Consider the following 20003-nt stretch of genomic DNA (forward strand, 5'->3'; position numbering starts at 1 on the left):
TGTAAGTACGTTCTTCTGTCTATAGATTAACAGGAAAACCTAAAGTTATATGAGTCACAGTAATCTGAAGGTTCAATCCTTTGTTGATAACCTAAATAACATCAGTAAAATCTAAGAAATGGAGAAAGGGGTAGAGACCCTGAATATGCCTCTGGTTCTGCCAGTCCTTTGCAGAAGAAATAAGTCCATGTTTCATCTTTTAAATCTTTCATTCTTGATGTTCATCATGTGCCCTGGGTTAAAAATAAACTTTAAGTGTATAGCTAGAAGAAAGAAAGAGAACAATGAAAATCAGAGATGTTGTCTCCCAAAGGACTAGGCATCGCAGGGACGGAGGAAGTCATGATGAAATGTTGTCTATCTATTGGAAAGCCAGGAGCCAAAAGGGACCTGGGGGTAAGAATGACAAACAGGCAAAGAGACAGAGCATCTGCGAAGCGCAATGGCAACACGTAAGAGTGCAGCCGGTAAAGCCCATGCTTTCAGTCATCTTATGTAGTGCAGGAAAATACTAATTATGATAGAATGTAAAAATATATCAATAAATACAATGTATAATAAAGTCGGTGACCAATTGTGTTTAAAATTTTAATTAATTAGCTGGATGCAGTGGATCACATCTGTAATCTCAGCACTTTGGGAAGCCGAGGCAGGAGGATCGCTTGAGCCCAGGAGTTTGAGACCAGCCTAGGCATCATAGTGAGGCACCCCCGCCCCCCAGCCCACTACAAAAAATACAAAGATTAGCCGGGCATGATAGTGCATGCCTGCAGTCCCAGGTACTCAGGAGGCTGAGATGGGAGGATGGCTTGAGCCCAGGAGGTCCAGGCTGCAGTGAGCTGTGACTGCACCACCGCACTCAGCCTGGGCAACAGAGTGAGACCGTGTCTCAGAAAAATAAAGTGAAATAAAATTTTAATTAATTAATTTTAATCCTCTACACAGCCAGTATAGGGGTTGCAAGCTCAAGCTATGCAGTCGGCATCTGGAGCTAAAAGCCAGCGTTCACTCCCGAGGACCTTTGTCAAAATGTGTGACTGCCCTGAGCTTTATCCATAAAATAACAGTAATAACGGTACTACTCTATGGTTTTGTAGTGAGGACCAGAAGTGGTGATTTGTGAAAAGCACTTATACCCAGTAATTCTTAAACTACTTACTCCAGCACTTGGCCCATGGCAAATTTCCTGGTAGCCATATGTACATATACACATGCTTTTAAATACATAAACGTATGTACATATACTTTTAATTTACTACTAAGATTTTATACATTTTCCAGTAGTTTGTATGATGAACATGTATATACCTCCCTTTAAAGTTAAACAATAAAAAAATCTTAATTTTTCTACCTTAAAATCTCCTCTCATCACGTCATCCAATGATAGCCGCTGTTAACATCATGTTCCTATTTACTTCTGCTTGTTTCTCTGAAGATGTACGTGAGTGGGTAAACACGATGTAATTTGACATTGCGGTTTTTAATAGCATATCACAAATATTTTCCTGTTATAATTTCATTCACAAACATGGTTCTGATAGTTACATAATATTACACCATATGATCATTTCCTAGTTTACTTAGCTATTTCCTATGGTTGGATATTCTTGGCTTGTTTCCAATATTTTTCTATTCTAATTCATCTCCAACAAAAGTCATCATCTGTGAATCTTTCTCTGCATCTCTAAGTATTTCCTTAGAATAAACTCCTAGAGTGAATCTGTTAGCACATTTGTTTCTCTCTTTTAATTAACAACTGGAAAATGATTATTGCAGACACATTCTCTTCAAGTGAATATTTCTTCTCGGCTGAACTTTGCTTTACTGAGTATTTTTCCCTCCCTTGGCTGCATTTTCATTCTTCTTTTGCTGTTTTGCGTTTCACTCCCACCTACAAAATATCCAAGTTCCCTCTCCCAAAATAAAACCCCTCTTGGTTCATGGCAGAGTCAACTTTGTTCAGCTGTCTTTACCCTGCAGGTCCAAAGGTCTATTGCCCAGAGTATTTGCTGAGGGGATAAGAGGTGCCAGGTCCTCATCAGAGTAATCTTTGCATCTTCCATTTTAGATGATGAGGCTGAGGCTAAATAACTTTTTGTGACTTGAACAAAATCACGCCCGTCATTTTGGAGCAGAGATTGGACCCAGACCATCTGACTGCAGTGCACTTGGTTACTACACAACAGCCCTGGAAGCTGCAACCTGAGGACCTCCAGCCTCACATGAATCATCTTCATCCACCAACCTTCTCCCATCTGGGTTCCCACACTCCTCCCATCACCCAGCATGGGGGGCCTCATGGTGGTGGTTGACCCTTCCTCTATCTCCACCTGCATATGGGGCACATTCTCCCCAAACCTCACTCCAGTCCAATCTCACCTCAACCCCACTGTCTCGCTCATAGGGTTGAGGAAAGACAGAATAAACCCTGGCTGGGAAAAGTCACTTTAGTCAATGTACGGTCAGTTTTACGTGTCAGCTTGGCCAGGCTAGAGTCCCCAGTCATCCAAACGCCCAGTTGACTGTAAGCAAAGACTATCCTAGATAATTTGGTCGGCCTGAGACATTCAGTTAAAAGACCATAAGAGCAGAACTGAAAACAGAAAATTCTGCCTGTGGACTGCAGCGCCAGCTCCTGCCTGAGAGTTTCCAGCCTGACCTTCCTAAACTTGCCTACTAATCCCCCACAATTGCATAAGCCAATCCCTTGCAATAAATAAAATAGATCGAGATGTAGATAGACAGAGATCCAGATCCTACTGGTTCCATTTTCCTGGCAGAACCATGATGGATATGATATATGTCCCATAAAGAGCCTCCCAGTGGTGTCTTTTTGTTTTGTAAAGATGGTTTTAATCCACAGATTTAAGAGTGATATATATATGTTAGTGATATATATATAAAATATATATCACTCTTATTATATATTATATATATTATATAATATATAATATATTATATTATATAATATATTATATATTATATAATATATATAATATATTATATATTATATAATATAATATATTATATATTATATAATAATATAATATATTATATATTATATAATAATATATAATATATTATATAATAATATATAATAATATATAATATATTATTATATAATATATAATAATATATAATAATATAATAATGTGATTATATTATATATAATATGTAATATAATAATGTATATATATTATATATGCATTATATATAATGATTTTCTATCAAATGTATATTTAAATCTACCTACTTGTGTTATATATTTATATATGTGTGTGTGATATGTATAATTTTAAAATATATCTGTATAGCTACTTAATTTGTATTTCCAGCCCAATTCAGTCTAGTGACAGAAAATATAACTCATCAAGTCTGGGTAATCTCAAATAATTCGGCTAAATTCCTCAATTCATCAATTTCTCCCTCCTCCAGCCTCCGCATAATTGATTCTAACTTTCAGGGAGTTGAAGCAGCACTGCCCTGGGGGGCTCTCTTCCAGCTCTCAGCCCCTCCCTGCACAGCTCTGGTGCCCACGGGGATGCGCCCACGGGGATGCAAGGCCCTGTATGACCATCAGACCTCCTGTCCTCACTTGAGATGTTTATTTCTAGTCCCCAGTCCTGCCCCAACCACAGGATGTAACCCAGACCCTGGTCTCTATTCCAAGATTCATCCTTGTCAAGCGGTTCTCAGCAGCATGCCTCTGCCACGCCCAGTCACAGAGGACGATATTGGCTCCCCTCTTTATGGGGGGAGGATAAAAAGGATCATATCCCAGACCCCTGGGCTTAAGGCTTCCATGTTCCCATCTCTACTCTTTAATGCCAGGATGACATAGGGTACTTTCTGCAGGCATAGACAACCAGGCAGGAAGAGGGGCCCATGTTCCTTGTAATCTCAGATCACAAGTACCCTCTGGGGATCTATCACCCCAAGCTTGGTGCATGGACAAGGGGTACCTTATTCTCTTCCTTTCTTCTAAGACTATGCACTGCCTCTCCCCCAGGCAAATGGAATCTTGTCAATTCCAAGTGAGTTTGGAAAAACTCATTCTTTTTTACTTATTGTTTAGATCGGAACCTAAAATCGAAAGTTCCAGGAAGCTCAAGTTCTTATAACTAAAAAGGCTTTTCTCTCTCAAGAGCATTGGCTCTGTCTTTTCCATGTTCTACTTTGAAACACAAAAGCTGAGCTCGACATTGATTTAATTGCTTTTTATTTGAATGATTGCTATAAGTGACACCTTTTGGGGCAGTATGTCCTAGCTGGTTGAATTAGAGTTGGGAAACACATTGCAAGAAAGGGTAGAAAGAGGCATACTTTATTGAATCTTTTGGAGTAACTTTTGTGCCTGTTACCACAAGCTTATTTTTGATAAGATGCTTCCTAACTTTCCTCGCTCACCCCTACCTCATCTCAGGGCCAAGCACGAAAGTTGTTTTATACATGCTAGGTTTGGCTGATTTCAATGTGACTTCCCCAGGGCAGAAGAGACAGTGGTTGAAGGATGAAGAATCAACCTACCCGGGGGAATCAAAGATTGATCCCAGGGAATGGAGCAGATATAATTAAATAAGTTTTTTCTTTCCCCAGTGTATCTAATATTCATTTTTGTATTTACTTGGAGCAAATGAATTTAAATGAATTTTTAGTTAGAGTTAAATCAACTCATTAAAACACATTGAAGGAATTAGAAATGTAAAATCATTTCCTGCTGCAATTCATTCATCTCTAAGTCTATAACTGACTTGAATCTAGGTAAAGGTCATTGCTTAAAGGGGACAGTGGCCCTTATTCTTGCAACCTACAAACTTTTACAGTTTGCATGGAGTTTTCACATCCATGAACTCAAGCAAGACTGAATAGGCCTGTATGGTGAACAAACAGGAGTAAATGCCTCCACTATTCAGGGGAGGAAAGTGAGCTCAAAAAAGTTTAATATTGTTGCCTAAGGATACTCAACCAGCAAATGGCAATATCGAGACAGGAGCAGGTCTTCAGTCCAAACCCACAGAGCAGAGCTTGCCCAGGAAGCTGATCATTCTTGTACCACCTTCTCCATCACTGGACCTACACCCTGCCCTTCTTTACCCAGCTCTGACCTCTCAGATGCTGAACCTGGGGTGCCCTTGTCATTGAACTTCGAGTTGCATTATTTTCCCATTGTTTTACCTACAATTAACTTGCCGTCTTTTTTTTTTTTTTTTTTTTTTTTTTGAGACAGAGTCTCACTCTGTCGCCCAGGCTGGAGTTCAGTGGCACCATCTCGGCTCACTGCAAGCTCCGCCTCCCAGGTTCACGCCATTCTCCTGCCTCAGCCTCCTGAGTAGCTGGGACTACAGGCTCCCGCCACCATGCCTGGCTAACTTTTTTTTTTTTTTGTATTTTTAGTAGAGACGGGGTTTCACCGTATTAGCCAGGATGGTCTCGATCTCCTGACCTTGTGATCTGCCCACCTCGGCCTCCTAAAGTGCTGGGATTACAGGCACGAGGCTCCGCGCCCGTTCTATCTTGCCTTATTTTTAAAAGTATTGCTCACTCTAATTTTCTTCTATACTAACAGTTTCATGAAGAACATTTAAAAATTTAATCAATCTGATTTGTGCTAGGTGACATGGATAAAGTAAGAAGCCAGCTTCTTGTTCTCTAAATATATAGTTGATAATTAGATAACAACCTAAATTTCCTTCAAAGTGATTTAATTTCCATAATGTTCCAAATTTGCATATATACTTGGAGTGGTTTCATGGCTATATTCTTCTTGATGGACCTGTCCATATCTGCATGAGTACAATGTTGGTTAAATTACTCTAACTTTAATTTTTATTTAAGTGGCTAACCAGGCTGACCCCTTGAATTTTTTTTTTTTTTTTTTTTTTTTTTTTTGTGGTTCTTTAACATTTTCTGGGACTTTCTCACTTGTATTTTTTCAGCATCAAAAATCTTATTATCCATGTAAGTACAACTTTTTTTAAATTTAAATTTAACCAAAATTTAAAACTACGCAAATTAACAATCCCACTCATGGAAAGACATGGTCATTTTCAGAAGAACAGAAGTTCCTGTACCACAGTGAAAATACATCAACTGTTTGCATGTTTGAGTGTGTGCTGTTGTTCCAGTGCATGTTGGTGCTTGATTCATTTCTTCCTCAGTGGCCTTATATAGTGTGCACTGTCATATCTCCATCTTACAGATGAGAACAGTGAATTTTCTCACTTTTATCTTATATCAAGTTAACTTTTGAAAATTTTTTGTGAAAATCCAATAAATATCCTACTAGAATGCTAGCAGAGTTCGTCTCACATTTTTAGATTAATGTGGGGGAAAGGAGTTCTCCCTGATGTTGAATCATACCCAGAGAAGGTACATGTCATTGGGCAGTCTTTCTATAACATGAGTCTTCAACAGAGTTCTATTGTTTTCGTCATATAATTCATACACATGTTTATCTCATTCTTATTTATTTCTGCATGTTTTATGATGTTTGTCACTATTGTGGAGAAAATCCCTCATTATAGTTTTTGGAAAACAAAATATATAAATATTGGCTAAGAAGAGAAAGCAAAATTATTTATTTTGCAGACAATATAATTACTTTTAAGAAAACCCAAGAGAATCTACAAAAGTATAGTATTAAAAACAATAAAACAAAATATGTGGATAATACCAAAAAATATAAAAATCAGTAGCTTCCTATAAAATAATTACTTCACCTTAAAAATTACTTTCCTATGGAAAGGAAGTTGTATATATATTTTACATAAACGCCTAATATAAATCACAAATTTTACGTTGAAAAATGTTCCCTTCTAGTTCAGGCATTATTTGCATCTATAAAATTTTAATTGCTTCTATCAATATGTAGTGTTTTACTTATTAGGATATTTTAAAGTATTATTTTTTAAATCACATTATGCTCAGCAAGTCACTAAGTACATCTGACATTACCCTTGCACCCTCTTTCACCGGCATGCAGATGTGCAACCCGCAAGCAACTTGTCACCACTTCAAATGTTGGTGAGGATAGTGGAGCTGAAGAGCACTGTAAATTACTGTGGGATTAGCATGACTAATGTTTAATTAACTGGGTTCTAGAAAGACCAGAAGATGTTCCGCCGTTTTCCCTGGTGGAAATACTGCCCCTTTGAGAATGTGTCTCGCACAGCCCCCTCCCGCATCGGTCCGTGCTAGCTCTGCAGCTTTATTTCATCAGGCTGGAGTCTCCTTTTCTCTCCCATGCTACAGTTCGTGAACAAATGCTGTGGATGCCATCAGGACCAGCCTCCTGGTTCCTTTATGACCATGCGGTCACAAAGCGTCCCTTGCTTGGAAGGGGTTCAATGCTCTGCTATCACGGTCATGAACTTCTTCATAGTTTTTAAACAAGAGGCCCCACATTTTCATTTTGCACTACACCTTGCAAATGATGCCATTATGTCCTGTCCAGGCTCTGATCACGTCTCGCTGTTGCCTCTGTTGACATCAGGTCCTGGCCACCATCGCCTGTCTCTTAGAGGACAGTACAGGCCCTTCAAGTGCTCCCTGCAGATGTCCTTACTCCAGCCGACTGTGGAATCTCTCAACCAACAGCCAGACAGAGCCTCCTAAGCTCTGCCCACCCAGATGGTGTCACTCCTCTGCTGACCCCTCCCCTGGGGGACCAGCTCATCAGAGTCAAGGCCAGGGTCATGGCATCGGCCTCCCAGGTTCACCCCGTCGGGGCCCACTGTTCCGCCTTTCCCCAGCCCTCTCCCTCACTCCTCAGTCACAGCAGGATGGCCGCTCCTGTTCCTCTAGCACGCGAAGACCCTTCTGCCCAGGGCCTGGCATTGTTCACAAATCCTCCTCGCCAGCGGCACACAGGACTCCTGCACCTGCCTCCTTCAGGTCTCTTTACTCAAAAGGAGCAGTGAGGCCTTCCTCAACCAAGGTCATTAAAGTTCTAAAGTTAGAAGGGTTGTCAGCATTAGAGAGTAAAAATACAAGACCCGATTAAATGTGAATTTTGGATTAACAATAAATAGTTTTAGTATAAGTATATCCCCAGTAGTTCATGGGAAATATGTATAATAAATATATGTACAAAGTGTATGCATGTGTGTATATATGCATAATATATATAGCACATATATATTTAGTATATGTATATGCCATGCATATATAAATTTAGTACAAGTATACTAAATATAAGTGACATATATATATTTAGTAAAAGTATACTAAATATAAGTGGCATTGGACTTTATGCACATGGTCGGCAAAAATAGTGAAAAGTATGGTATAAATATACATATATGATATAAATATGTTATATATACGTATGGTATATTAGTGTATATATTTATTTTACTTATATTAAATATATACATAGTATATCTAGTATTACATATACACATAGTATATATAGTGTTATATATACATAGTATACAGAGTATTATATAGAGTATATATAGTATTATATATACATATATAGTATATACACATAGTGTGTATGTATAGACTATGTAGTATAGGTAGACTAAATATATAAACTAATATAGCACACATATATATCATGTTTCTACCATATACACACATATTTATATCATTTTTTTCACTATTTTCACTGACCCCTGTGCATAAAGTCCAATGCCACATTCACCACCAGTGGCCCTATAGTCCTCCCATGTATTATTTTTCAATTGGATGTGTTGCTATCTGGCGTGCTATATATTCGACTTACTTATCCTTTTAAAGAAATTGTCTGGCTATCTCCTCTGATCGATGGCCATAGGTGGGTGAGTCACCTTCATTGTCCCAGGTTTAGCTGGGAACCAGGGATAGTGTCTGCTTGGATGGTAACTGAAGAATGCGTAATTATCAACCAGGCATTCTTGGGACAGCCACCCTCTCCCTTGTGCCCAGAGAGACCAGGTAGGTCAGTGCACAGAGAGAGTGAGCAGAGGGGAGACACAGAGGCAAGTCAGCCCCTTCCTCTGGCTCCGGGTCCTTTCTGGAGCTGGCTGTGTACTTGCCCTGGGTCTCCCCCAAACACAGCTCTTTAATAAAAACCTTCTTTTTCCATAAGCTGACTCAAGCTGGTTAATGTTACTCACAACTAAAGAAGTCTTTTTAGCAATATCCTAGAATGAGGCATTATAGAAGCTTCTGTATTTAAATTCTGAAAGTTCTTCCCTCAGTCTGACCCCAATCTCCATGAGGTGCATCTCTTTCCTTATGCCCAGGGGATGCTAACAACTATTACTGCAGCAGTCTGTGGCTTCAGGTTTAGCGCCAGAGCTGCTCTTGAGAACTGCCGGGGTGACAAAGCAGAATTCCAGCGGTGGGGATCTGACATCGGCACTCTCTCAAGCTCTCCGTTCTAACCGCAGAGGACTGAGAGCCACTGATCTAGACAGGATTGATTGGAGGTCACACAAAGGGTGGCCGTGTTGGGCCTGGATCCCAGGCTTCCGGACCCTGTAGCTGGATTCTATCTAGTGATGCGTCCTTGATGATCAATTTCTTTTGAACCTGGTAAGGCTGCCTGTTCCTATCATTGATGACTCAGTATCAGTTGTGATTTTCCAAGAAGAATCTGCTTTAGTGAGGGTGTTCACAATGTATGGGCTTGAGAACGCATGTCTTCTTGCTCACAAGGATGGATGGTCACATTCAGGAGTCATTCACAAATCCGCTTTCTTCATATCTTTGGAATCTGTTCCCTTTTTCTCACCTCTGCAATTCCCCTCATTCAAGCCCTAAGCACTCCCTGGCTGTCTATGCATCCCCTTCTGTAACCTCCACCCCATCTGTGACCATCCATTTCATGTCTGCCTTCTCTGCAAGCTCTGTCAGAAAAAGGAGGCCCTCAGAGGCACTGGCGTCTCCACCTCCAGCACGCAGAACAGCTCCCTGCAGAGGCTGAGGGCAGCATCCATCCCTGTGGAATGAATTAATGAGGAAGTTCCTTCCTCTCCCCAGGGCAGTGCCTGCCCCAGGGCACAGGTAAATTCCTGACTCCTGGGGACTCACCTCATAACAGTGTACGTCTTTCTCTCTCTAAAGACATTAGCAACCACTAGATCATATACACAGGGAGTGCAGGGAGCACCCTGCAGTCTGCAGCAGTAATTTCCGGCTGGAAATGAGACCAGGCTCCGAGAACTTGAAATGGGTTATTTTGTTTGTCTGTTCGTTGCTTGGTTGGTTTTCATGTTATCTTTTCATCTGCTTCACTCTCTCACTGGGGCTCTTCTCTCCTTGCAGAAAGAAAATATGTTTCAAATGACTTTGCCTGTCAGTTCCCTCTGCTCTGTGCCAGCTCTGCGCAAACTTCAAGAGCTCTCAGGCTCACACTGCCCTGCTCCTCGGTTTGCTAAGGGAGATGCCTTCAGCTGCCTGTAAGGTTGGTGGGGTACGTGTCCTGCTAATTAACCTGTTAGCAAACACTGAGGACAAAGAAGCCAGCTGTCAGTTGGTACAGAGGAGAGGAAAATTCAAATGGTGTGACTTGTACTCGCCCCTCAGAGACATCACTCACCTCTACCTGTTTCTGGTTGGGAGAAACAGGATGTTTCATCGCAGGCTGCAATCAGTCCTGTTATTTGGCCCAGAGTGAGCCAGGGCCTCCCCGCAGACAACTGCCCGCTCCAGCATTGCCTCTGGATGGCAAGATGTACCCTGCAAAGGATGTGGAGGGCATAATTAATCCCCAAGCTATTACACTGTGTCCAAAGCACACGCAGCTGAGAAATATAAATGGAGAAGGAAACTGTGGGTGCAACTCTGTGTATAAGTCATTGCTTTTTTTTTTTCCTTAATGTTGGGAGTAAAAGGTTTACGTAATTGGTAGAATTAAGACGACTTTTTGTAAAGGCAGAATTCCTTTCTTCATATAAGGCACAAAATTTCCTGGAATTTCAGAAATTTAGGGGGATGACTCCCAAATATTTGTGCCTCTTGTGCCCATTACAAAAAATACTCAAGTGAAAAGCAACAACTTGCATAAGTCAGTAAGGTTTCCGAATCATGGAGCCTGCGTAACTCAGTAAAGTTTCTGAAGCATGGAGCTTGCATGAGTCAGCAAGGTTTCCAAGCACGGAGCTTGCAGGAGTCAGTAAGGTTTCCAAGCACGGAGCTTATATGAGTCAGCAAGGTTTCCAAGCATGGAGCTTGCATGAGTCAGTAAGGTTTCCAAGCATGGAGCTTGCAGGAGTCAGTAAGATTTCCAAGCATGGAGATTGCATGAGTCTGCAAGGTTTCCAAGCATGGAGCTTGCATGAGTCAGCAAGGTTTCCAAGCATGGAGCTTGCATGAGTCAGCAAGGTTTCCAAGCACGGAGCTTGCAGGAGTCAGTAAGGTTTCCAAGCATGGAGCTCTCATGAGTCAGTAAGGTTTCCGAAGCATGGAGCTTGCATGAGTCAGTAAGGTTTCCAAGCACGGAGCTTGCAGGAGTCAGTAAGGTTTCCAAGCATGGAGCTTGCAGGAGTCAGTAAGGTTTCCAAGCATGGAGCTCTCATGAGTCAGTAAGGTTTCCAAGCATGGAGCTTGCATGAGTCAGCAAGGTTTCCGAAGCATGGAGCTTGACTTGGGAATGGGTTGGGAGGGTTTGTAGGAAGAGAATTTCTTTTCCTTTTTTTTTTTTTTTTTTTTTGAGAGGGAGTCTCAGTCTGTTGCCCAGGCCAGAGTGCAGTGGCAACATCTCGGCTGACTGCCACCTCCGCCTCCTGGGTTCAAACCATTCTCCTTCCTCAGCCTCCCGAGTAGCTGGGATTACAGGGGTGCACCACCATGCCAGGCTAATTTTTCTATTTTTAATAGAGACGGGGTCTCACCATGTTGGCCAGGCTGGTCTCAAACTCCTGACCTCAGGTGGTCTGCCTGCCTCGGCCTCCCAAATTGCTGGGATTACAGGCGTGACCCATCACGCCCGGCCTCTTCTAACTATTTTGAAAAATAAAATAGATGATGGTAAATTATAGTCACCCTGCTGATTTATCTAACACTAGGTCTTCTTTCTTCTAGCAAACCATATATTCGTACCCATTAATCAACTCCTCTTTATCTACCTTCGTCCTTATCTTTCCTGGACTCTTGTAACCACCAACTTCCTGTCTTCATGAGATGCCTGTTTTTATCCCCCACATATGAATGAGAGCTTGCAATATTTGTCTTTCTGTGCCTGGTTTATTTCACTGAACATAATGACCTCCAGTTCTATCCATGTTGCTGCCCATGACTCGATCAGTCTTTTTTTACAGCTAATATTCCATCCTGCGTCTATATCACAGTTTCTGTATCCATTCATTCATTGATGGGCACTCAGGTTGATTCCACATTTTGGCTACTGTGAATAGTGCTGCAATCAAGATGAGAGTGCAGGGATCTTTTTGATTTATTGATCTTCTTTCTTTTGGATACCCCACTTGGTAGTCAAATTACTGGGTCATACTGTAGTTCTGCTTTTAGTGTTTTTTGAGGAACCTCCGTATTGCTCTTCACAGTGGCTGCACTAACATAGGTTGCACCTGTGGACCAGGGTTCCCCTTTCCTCCCATCCTCACCAGCATCTGCTATTGCCTGTCCTTCAAATACAAGCCATTTTAACTGAGGTGACATGATGTCTCATTGGAGTTTTGAATTGTATTTCTTTGAGGCATAGAGATGTTGAATATTTTTTCTTTTTCTTTGTTTTCTTGAGACAGGGTTTCACTCTGTCGCCCAGGCTGGAGTGCAGTGGCACGATCTCAGCTCATTGCAACCTCCACCTCCCGGGCTCAAGGGATCCTTCTGCCTCAGCCCCCTGAGTACCTGGGACTACAGGTGTGAGCCACTACATCCGGCTGATTTTTGTAATTTTGGGTAGCGATGGGGTTTCACCATGTCGCCCAGGTTGGTCTCAAACTCCTAAGCTCAAGTGATCCACCTGCCTCGGCCTCCCAAAGTGCTGGGATTACAGGCGTGAGCCACCACACCCAGCCCATTTCTTCATATTTAAAAAAAGGAAAAGAAATTATCTTCCTACAAATGCTCCCAACCCATTCCCAAGTCAAGCTCCATGCTTCGGAAACCTTGCTGACTCATGCAAGCTCCATGCTTGGAAACCTTACTGACTTATCCAAGTTCCAACTTTTGGCCATTTGAGTCTTTTTTGAAAAATGTCTATTCAGATATTTTTCCTCCCTTAGACCATCACTCTCCTTACTCTCCGTGTGGCTACCATTAGCATCCTCTCCTAATTTACAGCTTAGCAGCTGCTGAGAACTAAAAAATCAGATAACCAAGATGGTTGGTGTCGAGTATAAATAGATCCCGAAGTCTTTGCATGAAAATATTGTGAAACACATTTTCATTTTTGGAGTCATTTTTTATTAGTAACATCCTGATAGTTGAATCTGGTAGATAAGTGACTTCCAGTTACCAGTTCAGACTGGCTCAAGGTCAAAGATAAGGGCTGGGGGGTTGGATCTGGCTTCTGGGTGCCATAGATCCAGGTGCTGAAACTATGTCATCTCTTGCTTGCCTGGGTGGGCTGCAGCAAGTTCCAGGCTGCAGCCTTCCAGCTCCGTGGCATTTAGAGAGAGCTGCCCCTTGTCAGCAGGTACAGCAAGAACCCCAGGAAGATCTCACCTATAAGCAGAAGACAAAACAAACAGGAAAAAAAAAAACCATCCTGGGAAGTGTAAACAGCTCTGGAGCCAGGAAAGGTGGGTGAGTGAACATCCTTTAGGCCCCAACACACAGACTGGGAGGGAGGGAGTCTGGATCCTCGAAGCAAATTGAGCAGCTTCTACCAGAATAGTAGAGGGGTTGCTGATTAAACAAAAAACATATATTCATAACTTCATTTAATTTTTTAATGCAGTTTCTTTTTCTTTTTCAAAAACTTTAATTTCTGGGATACATGTGCAGAACGTGCAGGTTTGTTACATAGGTATACATGTGTCATGGTGGTTTGCTGCACCTAGCAACCCGTCATCTAAGTTTTAAGCCCCGCGTACGTTAGGTATTTGTCCTAATGCTCTCTCGCCCCTTCCTCCCCACCCCTCCCTCCTGACAAGGCCTGGTGTGAACCAACCCAAATGCCCATCAATGGTAGACTGAATAAAGAAAATGTGACATATATACACCACGGAATACTATGCACCCGTAAAAAAGAATGAGTTCATGTCCTTTGCAGGGACATGGAAGAAGCTGGAAGCCATCATTCTCAGCAAACTACCGCGGGAGCAGAAAACCAAACACCACATGTTCTCACTCAGAAGTGGGAGTTGAACAATGAGAACACATGGACACAGGGAGGGGAACAACATTCTTTTCCTTTATCTTATATTTGTATGTTGAGAAGCTAAGAATGATTCTAATTTAGGCAGTTCAAGCAGTGTTTTTGAATCAATTCTACTCTACTTTATGTTGGATGTCTCCACAATGGAAGATATTAGAGGAATATTGGAGAATAGGGTGATGAGGCAATAGGGGTTGCTATGAGCCATTGAAGACAGGCTAGGGCATGACCCTTTTTGTTCCTGAAATCACTCTGGGTGCTATAGCAACTCATCCCCTGATGGAGACATTATCTGCACAATCTCACTGCATCTGCCTCGTCTCATCTCCGAAGACCACAGCGGCTGAGAGCAGAAAGATCACCAGCAGGTCACCCCTCATTCCACGCTGAAGTCCCCTCCAGCACAACCACACCGCCTGGTCATCCAGCCCATGACCTCTCAGAGGATGCACAAAGGGAGGGCCCAATAACTTTTATTTACTTATTTTTATTTATTATTATTATTATTTGAGACAGAGTTTTATTCTTGTTGCCCAGGCTGGAGTGCAATGACATGATTTCAGCTCTGCAAACTTCGCATCCTGGCTTCAAATTATCTCCTGCCTCAGCCTCCCGAGTAGCTGGGATTACAGGTGCCCACCACCACACCTGGCTAATGTTTTGTATTTTTTTTTAGTAGAGACAGGGTTTTACCATGTTGGCCAGTCTGGTCTCAAACTCCTGACCTCAGATGATCCACCTGCCTCAGCCTCCCAAAGTGCTGGGATTGCAGGCGTGAGGCACTGCACTCAGCCCCCAATAACTTTTTAAGGCTCTAAGAAAATGTCTTTTTTAAAATTAATTAATTAATTTATTTATTTATTTTTGAGATGGAGTCTTGCTCTGTCACCCAGGCTGGAGTGCAGTAGTGAGAACTCGGCTCACTGCAAGCTCTGCCTCCCGGGTTCACGCCATTCTCCTGCCTCAGCTTCTCGAGTAACTGGGACTACAGGAGCCCGCCACCATGCCTGGCTACTTTTTTTTGTATTTTTAATAGAGACGGGGTTTCACCACATTAGCCACGATGGTCTCGATCCCCTGACCTCGTGATCCGCCCACCTCGGCCTCCCAAAGTGCTGGGATTACAGGCGTGAGCCACTGCGCCCGGCCGAAAACTTCTTTTTTTTAATGAAGGAATTACAAAACGGGCTTTGAAGTAATGTAGAATACACTTATATATTTACAAGTTGACATGGGGACACACTCCCACAGAGTGCACAGTGACGTGAGTGTAGTAACTTAATGTGGTAAGATTACATGACCCCTGCACGTGATGAAGTCTGGCCATGAGCCCTGTGGGAGGAAATTTTGATAAATGTCTTCCTTCAATCATTTCACTGTCTGCGTCCTGGTTCTGAACTTCAAAAGTTGCATGTGAAGTCTCTTGCGAATATGAGACTCGGGCCACATAGCCGATCGCACTCACCCATCATCCAAGATGTCTGCCTGGGCTCTGATCTGCTCTGTTCTTGCTTTCCTCCAGGGACGGGTGGCTCAGTACCTCACAGAAGCAAGTCCTGCCTTTGGAAAGGAAGTTCTTTACTATTTTGATATGAAATATGCCTGCTTAGTTCTCAGAGCAAGAGTGTCAAGAGTACACAGCCCAAGAGGCCCGGTGGAAGCTGCAGCCTTCTTACCTTCTTATGTTGGAGATGGGAAGCCCCAGAATGTCCCTTCCACAGCGTTCTGTGGTCGGCAAGTCACCAAGCCAGCCTGGATTCCAGGAAGCAGAAAGGGAGTTCCCTTCCGCCTCCCTAATGCCATGGAATGGGGAAGGGTACAACTCTAGGATCAGACCCAAAGGGAACTGTTGTGAATCTTGATTTTGTGACTTCTTGGCTATTGGATTTGGGCCAATTATTTGTCATCTCTGTACCTTAATTTACTCATCTATGAAAGAAGGACTAAAAATACTTATCATAGGAGAAGACAATATGTAAGCCACTTGGCAATGTGCCTGGGACCTAGTGAGCGATTCTTCTCACTTATTATTGTTTTCGTCATCATCGACATCATCGTCACCATTACTTTTCATTGTCTTTGGAAATTTGGACAGAGACCACAGGCAGATGCGGTGCCGTATTCCCACAGGGCTGGAGCAGCGGGTGTGTTTTTCTGTGATAGCAGCGCTTCCCGGAACCAGCAGGGTACACGTTATTTGACCTGAAGGGCGAGGGAGTTCAGAGCCTACAGTGATGAGAGAAAGCCCTGAGTGAACGTTTCCTTTCAGCTTCGTGAGAGGAAGAGTCTAAATAGGGGAGCCATCCCCAAAACCTGACCACGAGCAAGGGTGCAAAATAGGGTGCAGTCTCTTCACATATCTAGACAGGAGTATGAACCTCCTTGGGAGCGTGCAGGCTGGCAATACCCGTGTGTGCATGTACGCGTGTGATTCCTGTGTGTGCGAGCTTCTGTTTATGTGTGTGAGTGTGTGCATGTGTTAGTATGTGTAAATGTGTGGTTTATGTGTGGTGGAGTGAGCACATGAGCATGTAAAAGTGTGTGTGCATGAACAGAAGTATGTATGTGTACTGCATATGTATGTGTGAGTCTGTGTGGCATATGTGTATGTGGAGATGTGTTTGTAGTGTGTATCCGTGTGTGTACCTGCAAGTATGTTTGTGTTTATGTGTGAGTGGTACGTAGTATCTATACACAGGTGTGTACATTGTGTGAGTCGTGTGCATGTGTGTGATGACTCTGTGTTTGCGAGTGTGTGTGCTGCATGTACCAGAATGTGTGTATCTGTGTATGTGAGGGTTTATGGGTGAGTGCAATGTGTCTGTATGTGGGCATGTATATCATGTGAGTTATGAATATGGGTGCAATGTATGTGTGTATCTTTATGAGTGTGTTGTGCTTGTATCTATACATGTGTGTGCACGTGTGCATGCATACATTTGTGTGTGTGCATACATTTATGGGTGTGATGTGTGTGTCTGTCTGTGGGTGTGTATGTTGTGTGAGTTGTGTGTATATGTGTGATGAATGCATGTGTATGTGCATGCATGCATCTGTGTCTACTCGTACTTTATGGGTAAGAGGTGTGTGTGTGTGTGTACATTGTGTGAGTCGTGTGTACATTGTGTGAGTCGTGTGTACATGTGTGATGAATGCATGTGTATGTTTGTGCATGTGTGGTGCATGCATCTGTACATGTGTGAATCTGTGTGTATGCATATATTTATGGGTAAGATGTGTGTCTCTGTATGTGGGTGTGTACATTGTGTGAGTCGTGTGTACATGTGTGATGAATGCATGCGTATGTGAGTGTGTGGTGCACATATCTGTGCATATGTACATCTGTGTGTACACATATATTTATGGGTGAGAGGTGTGTGTCTTCATGTGGGTGTGTATGTCATGTGAGTCGTGTGTACATGTGTGATGAATACATATGTATGTGAGTGTATGTATAGTGCATGTATCTGTGCATGTGTGAATCTGTGTGTATGCATATATTTATGGGTGAGACGTGTGTCTCTGTATGTGGGTGTGTACATTGTGTGAGTCGTGTGTACATTGTGTGAGTCGTGTGTACATGTGTGATGAATGCATGTGTATGTGAGTGTGTGGTGCACATATCTGTGCATATGTACATCTGTGTGTACACATATGTTTATGGGTGAGAGGTGTGTGTCTTCATGTGGGTGTGTATGTCATGTGAGTCATGTGTACATGTGTGATGAATGCATGTGTATGTGAGTGTATGTATAGTGCATGTGTCTGTACATGTGTGAATCTGTGTGTACACATATATTCATGGGTGAGACATGTGTCTGTACGTGGGTGTGTAATTGTGTGAGTTGTGTGTACATTGTGTGAATCGTGTGTACATGTGTGATGAACGCATGTGCATGCATGTGTGTGGTGCATGTGTGCATCTGTGTGTACACATACATTTATAAGTGGGGGTGTGTGTCTGTGTGTGGCTGCGTGTGTTGTGTGGGTCATGTGTACATGTGTGATGGATGTATGTGTATGCTTTGCTTTGTGATGCGTGTATCTGTGCACAGGTGAACCTGTGTTTTTCTCCCTTGTTGAAAGGCAGGATGACACGGCAGTTAGGAGCTTCTCTGGGGCCTTCAGGCAGACGGTCTGGGCTGTGTCCTGGCTGTGCCTTTTCCCAGCCCTACCTGCAGTCCTACACATCTTCTCCACCTCCAGCGGCTTCTCCTTCTCACATCCACCCTCTGCGAAGGCATAAATAGTAGCAACTCCCTTCTGGATTCTATGAGGTGATAATTACATGAGATGGCAGAGCCTGGAGCACGGGAGCTCCTCAGTGACTCAGTCATGTTCATTCCAAGGAGTTCAGGGTCCTTGCCGTCTGCAAACCTTTCCCCTTATTTTCAAGATCCTTGAGTCTGACTGTCAAGCAGTAACATTCCAGCCTCAACTACAACAATACTTGTAGATGGTAAGAAACATTGAGATAGAGGAGAATTTCTTAGAGAAGGTCAGGGTCTTGGATTCCTTCATAGAAAAGAAAAAAGGGCCAATTTATGTCCTTTGCTAACTCAAGGCCTGATTTAAAACCGTAACCCATGGGTAAAAATGTAAAAAAGCTCAACCACAAAAGCATGTATGGGGACGTGTTCCCTGCTGCTGGGAGGGCTATAGGGCTGGGTGCCATTATGTTCATGTACAATGAAGAGTGGGAACTCCTCTATGTGGGGCCAGCCACGAGCCTGACCCCATGCACAGCATCTCATTTAAGTTTCTCCACGTACCCACAGAATGGAGCTTCCACTGGACCCCATGTCACTGGTGAGGGACTTCAGGCAGAGAGAAAGCTCATCCTTTGCCCAAGGTCACACCGCTGGTAAAAAGCAAATGAAGTTCAAACTGACCTCCTCATCCCTGCCCTTGTCCTCCCAACAGGCTCCTCACAGGTGGAAAAATCAACCCCTACAGCAAACTCATTGTTTTTTTGACCTCTCCTAAAATTAAAATCCAAGATCCCTCATGAGCTCTGTGATCTTGGGTAAGGTGTTTTTTTTTTTTTCACCTCTATGGGTTCCAGTTTCCTCCAAAGAAAAACCAAGGGTTTTGCAAACATTTAATTGTCAGTGCACATCATGCCAGTTTCATGTCCTTGACCTTGGGAGAAGGCTGGCCAGTGGCCAGAACCGTCCTCTATGCTCTGAGGCTGAGAGGCGTCAAAGCAAAGCTCTGTGACACACATTACCTTTGAGCCCCCAAAGAACATGAAGGAGCCCAGCCTGGGGGGTGCTTCTACTCTCTCTCTCCCAGTCCAGACTCCAGCTACTTCCCCTAAAGAGGAAGGCCATGCTGAGTGTCTCCAGCTGAGGACGTGTTACTCCAAGACTCATCTCCTTTGATGTCTGGTCTCGTTAGCGGCTACGGTGGTATAGGTGCTGACTGGGTTAACTCCATCAATATTCTCCTTCTTACTCACCTACTTTGCTGTTTAATAACATAATACATATTCTTGTATCTTTTGCTTGTAGTTTCTATTTTGTATTATGAAATGCCCCTGGATTCCTTTGAGTCTATTTAGTCAGAACATAAAAAAGCAACTATCCTGCCATTTACCTCTTTCCATTTTACTACTCAGCATGATCTTGAATGACTCTAATATTTTGCATTCATGACAAAAATATACAAAAGGTGACAGATGAAATGTAGGTCATGCTAAGTTTTTTTTCCGGCCCAATAAAAGTGCAAG

The 20003-nt window shown here is 42.7% G+C and overlaps 2 long non-coding RNA genes across 2 annotated transcripts in view, besides 2 other annotated features; one reads left to right on the forward strand and one right to left on the reverse strand.

The window, feature by feature from the left end:
- The window catches only part of LINC02369 (long intergenic non-protein coding RNA 2369), a 31160-nt gene extending 15195 nt beyond the window's left edge, over positions 1-15965 (reverse strand). Inside the window, exons 1-3 of the long non-coding RNA NR_104647.1 lie at positions 15949-15965; positions 15738-15832; positions 10529-10668 (exon numbers count right to left, since the gene is read on the reverse strand). This is a non-coding gene — a long non-coding RNA (long intergenic non-protein coding RNA 2369). The remainder of the gene's footprint in view (positions 1-10528; positions 10669-15737; positions 15833-15948) is intronic.
- Positions 7740-8240: an enhancer, noted in NCBI's record as "H3K4me1 hESC enhancer chr12:128594461-128594961 (GRCh37/hg19 assembly coordinates)". NCBI's record gives its function as "activates a minimal SCP1, AML or CMV promoter by ChIP-STARR-seq in primed H9 embryonic stem cells {active_cell/tissue: H9 hESC(primed)}" and the evidence as "EXISTENCE:reporter gene assay evidence [ECO:0000049][PMID:30033119]".
- Positions 9594-10793: an enhancer, noted in NCBI's record as "CDK7 strongly-dependent group 2 enhancer chr12:128596315-128597514 (GRCh37/hg19 assembly coordinates)". NCBI's record gives its function as "activates an origin of replication core promoter dependent on BRD2, BRD4, P300/CBP, MED14 and CDK7 cofactors, with strong dependence on CDK7, by STARR-seq in HCT116 cells {active_cell/tissue: HCT116}" and the evidence as "EXISTENCE:reporter gene assay evidence [ECO:0000049][PMID:35650434]".
- Positions 15966-16040: 75 nt separating the features above from the next.
- LINC02368 (long intergenic non-protein coding RNA 2368) lies at positions 16041-19776 on the forward strand. Its single transcript, NR_104648.1, has 3 exons — positions 16041-16601; positions 18363-18731; positions 19051-19776. It is a non-coding gene; the product is annotated as a long intergenic non-protein coding RNA 2368 (long non-coding RNA).
- The last annotated feature ends 227 nt before the right edge of the window (positions 19777-20003 follow it).

This window comes from Homo sapiens, chromosome 12 (genome assembly GCF_000001405.40).
Source record: "Homo sapiens chromosome 12, GRCh38.p14 Primary Assembly".
Taxonomy (NCBI): Eukaryota; Metazoa; Chordata; class Mammalia; order Primates; family Hominidae; genus Homo; species Homo sapiens.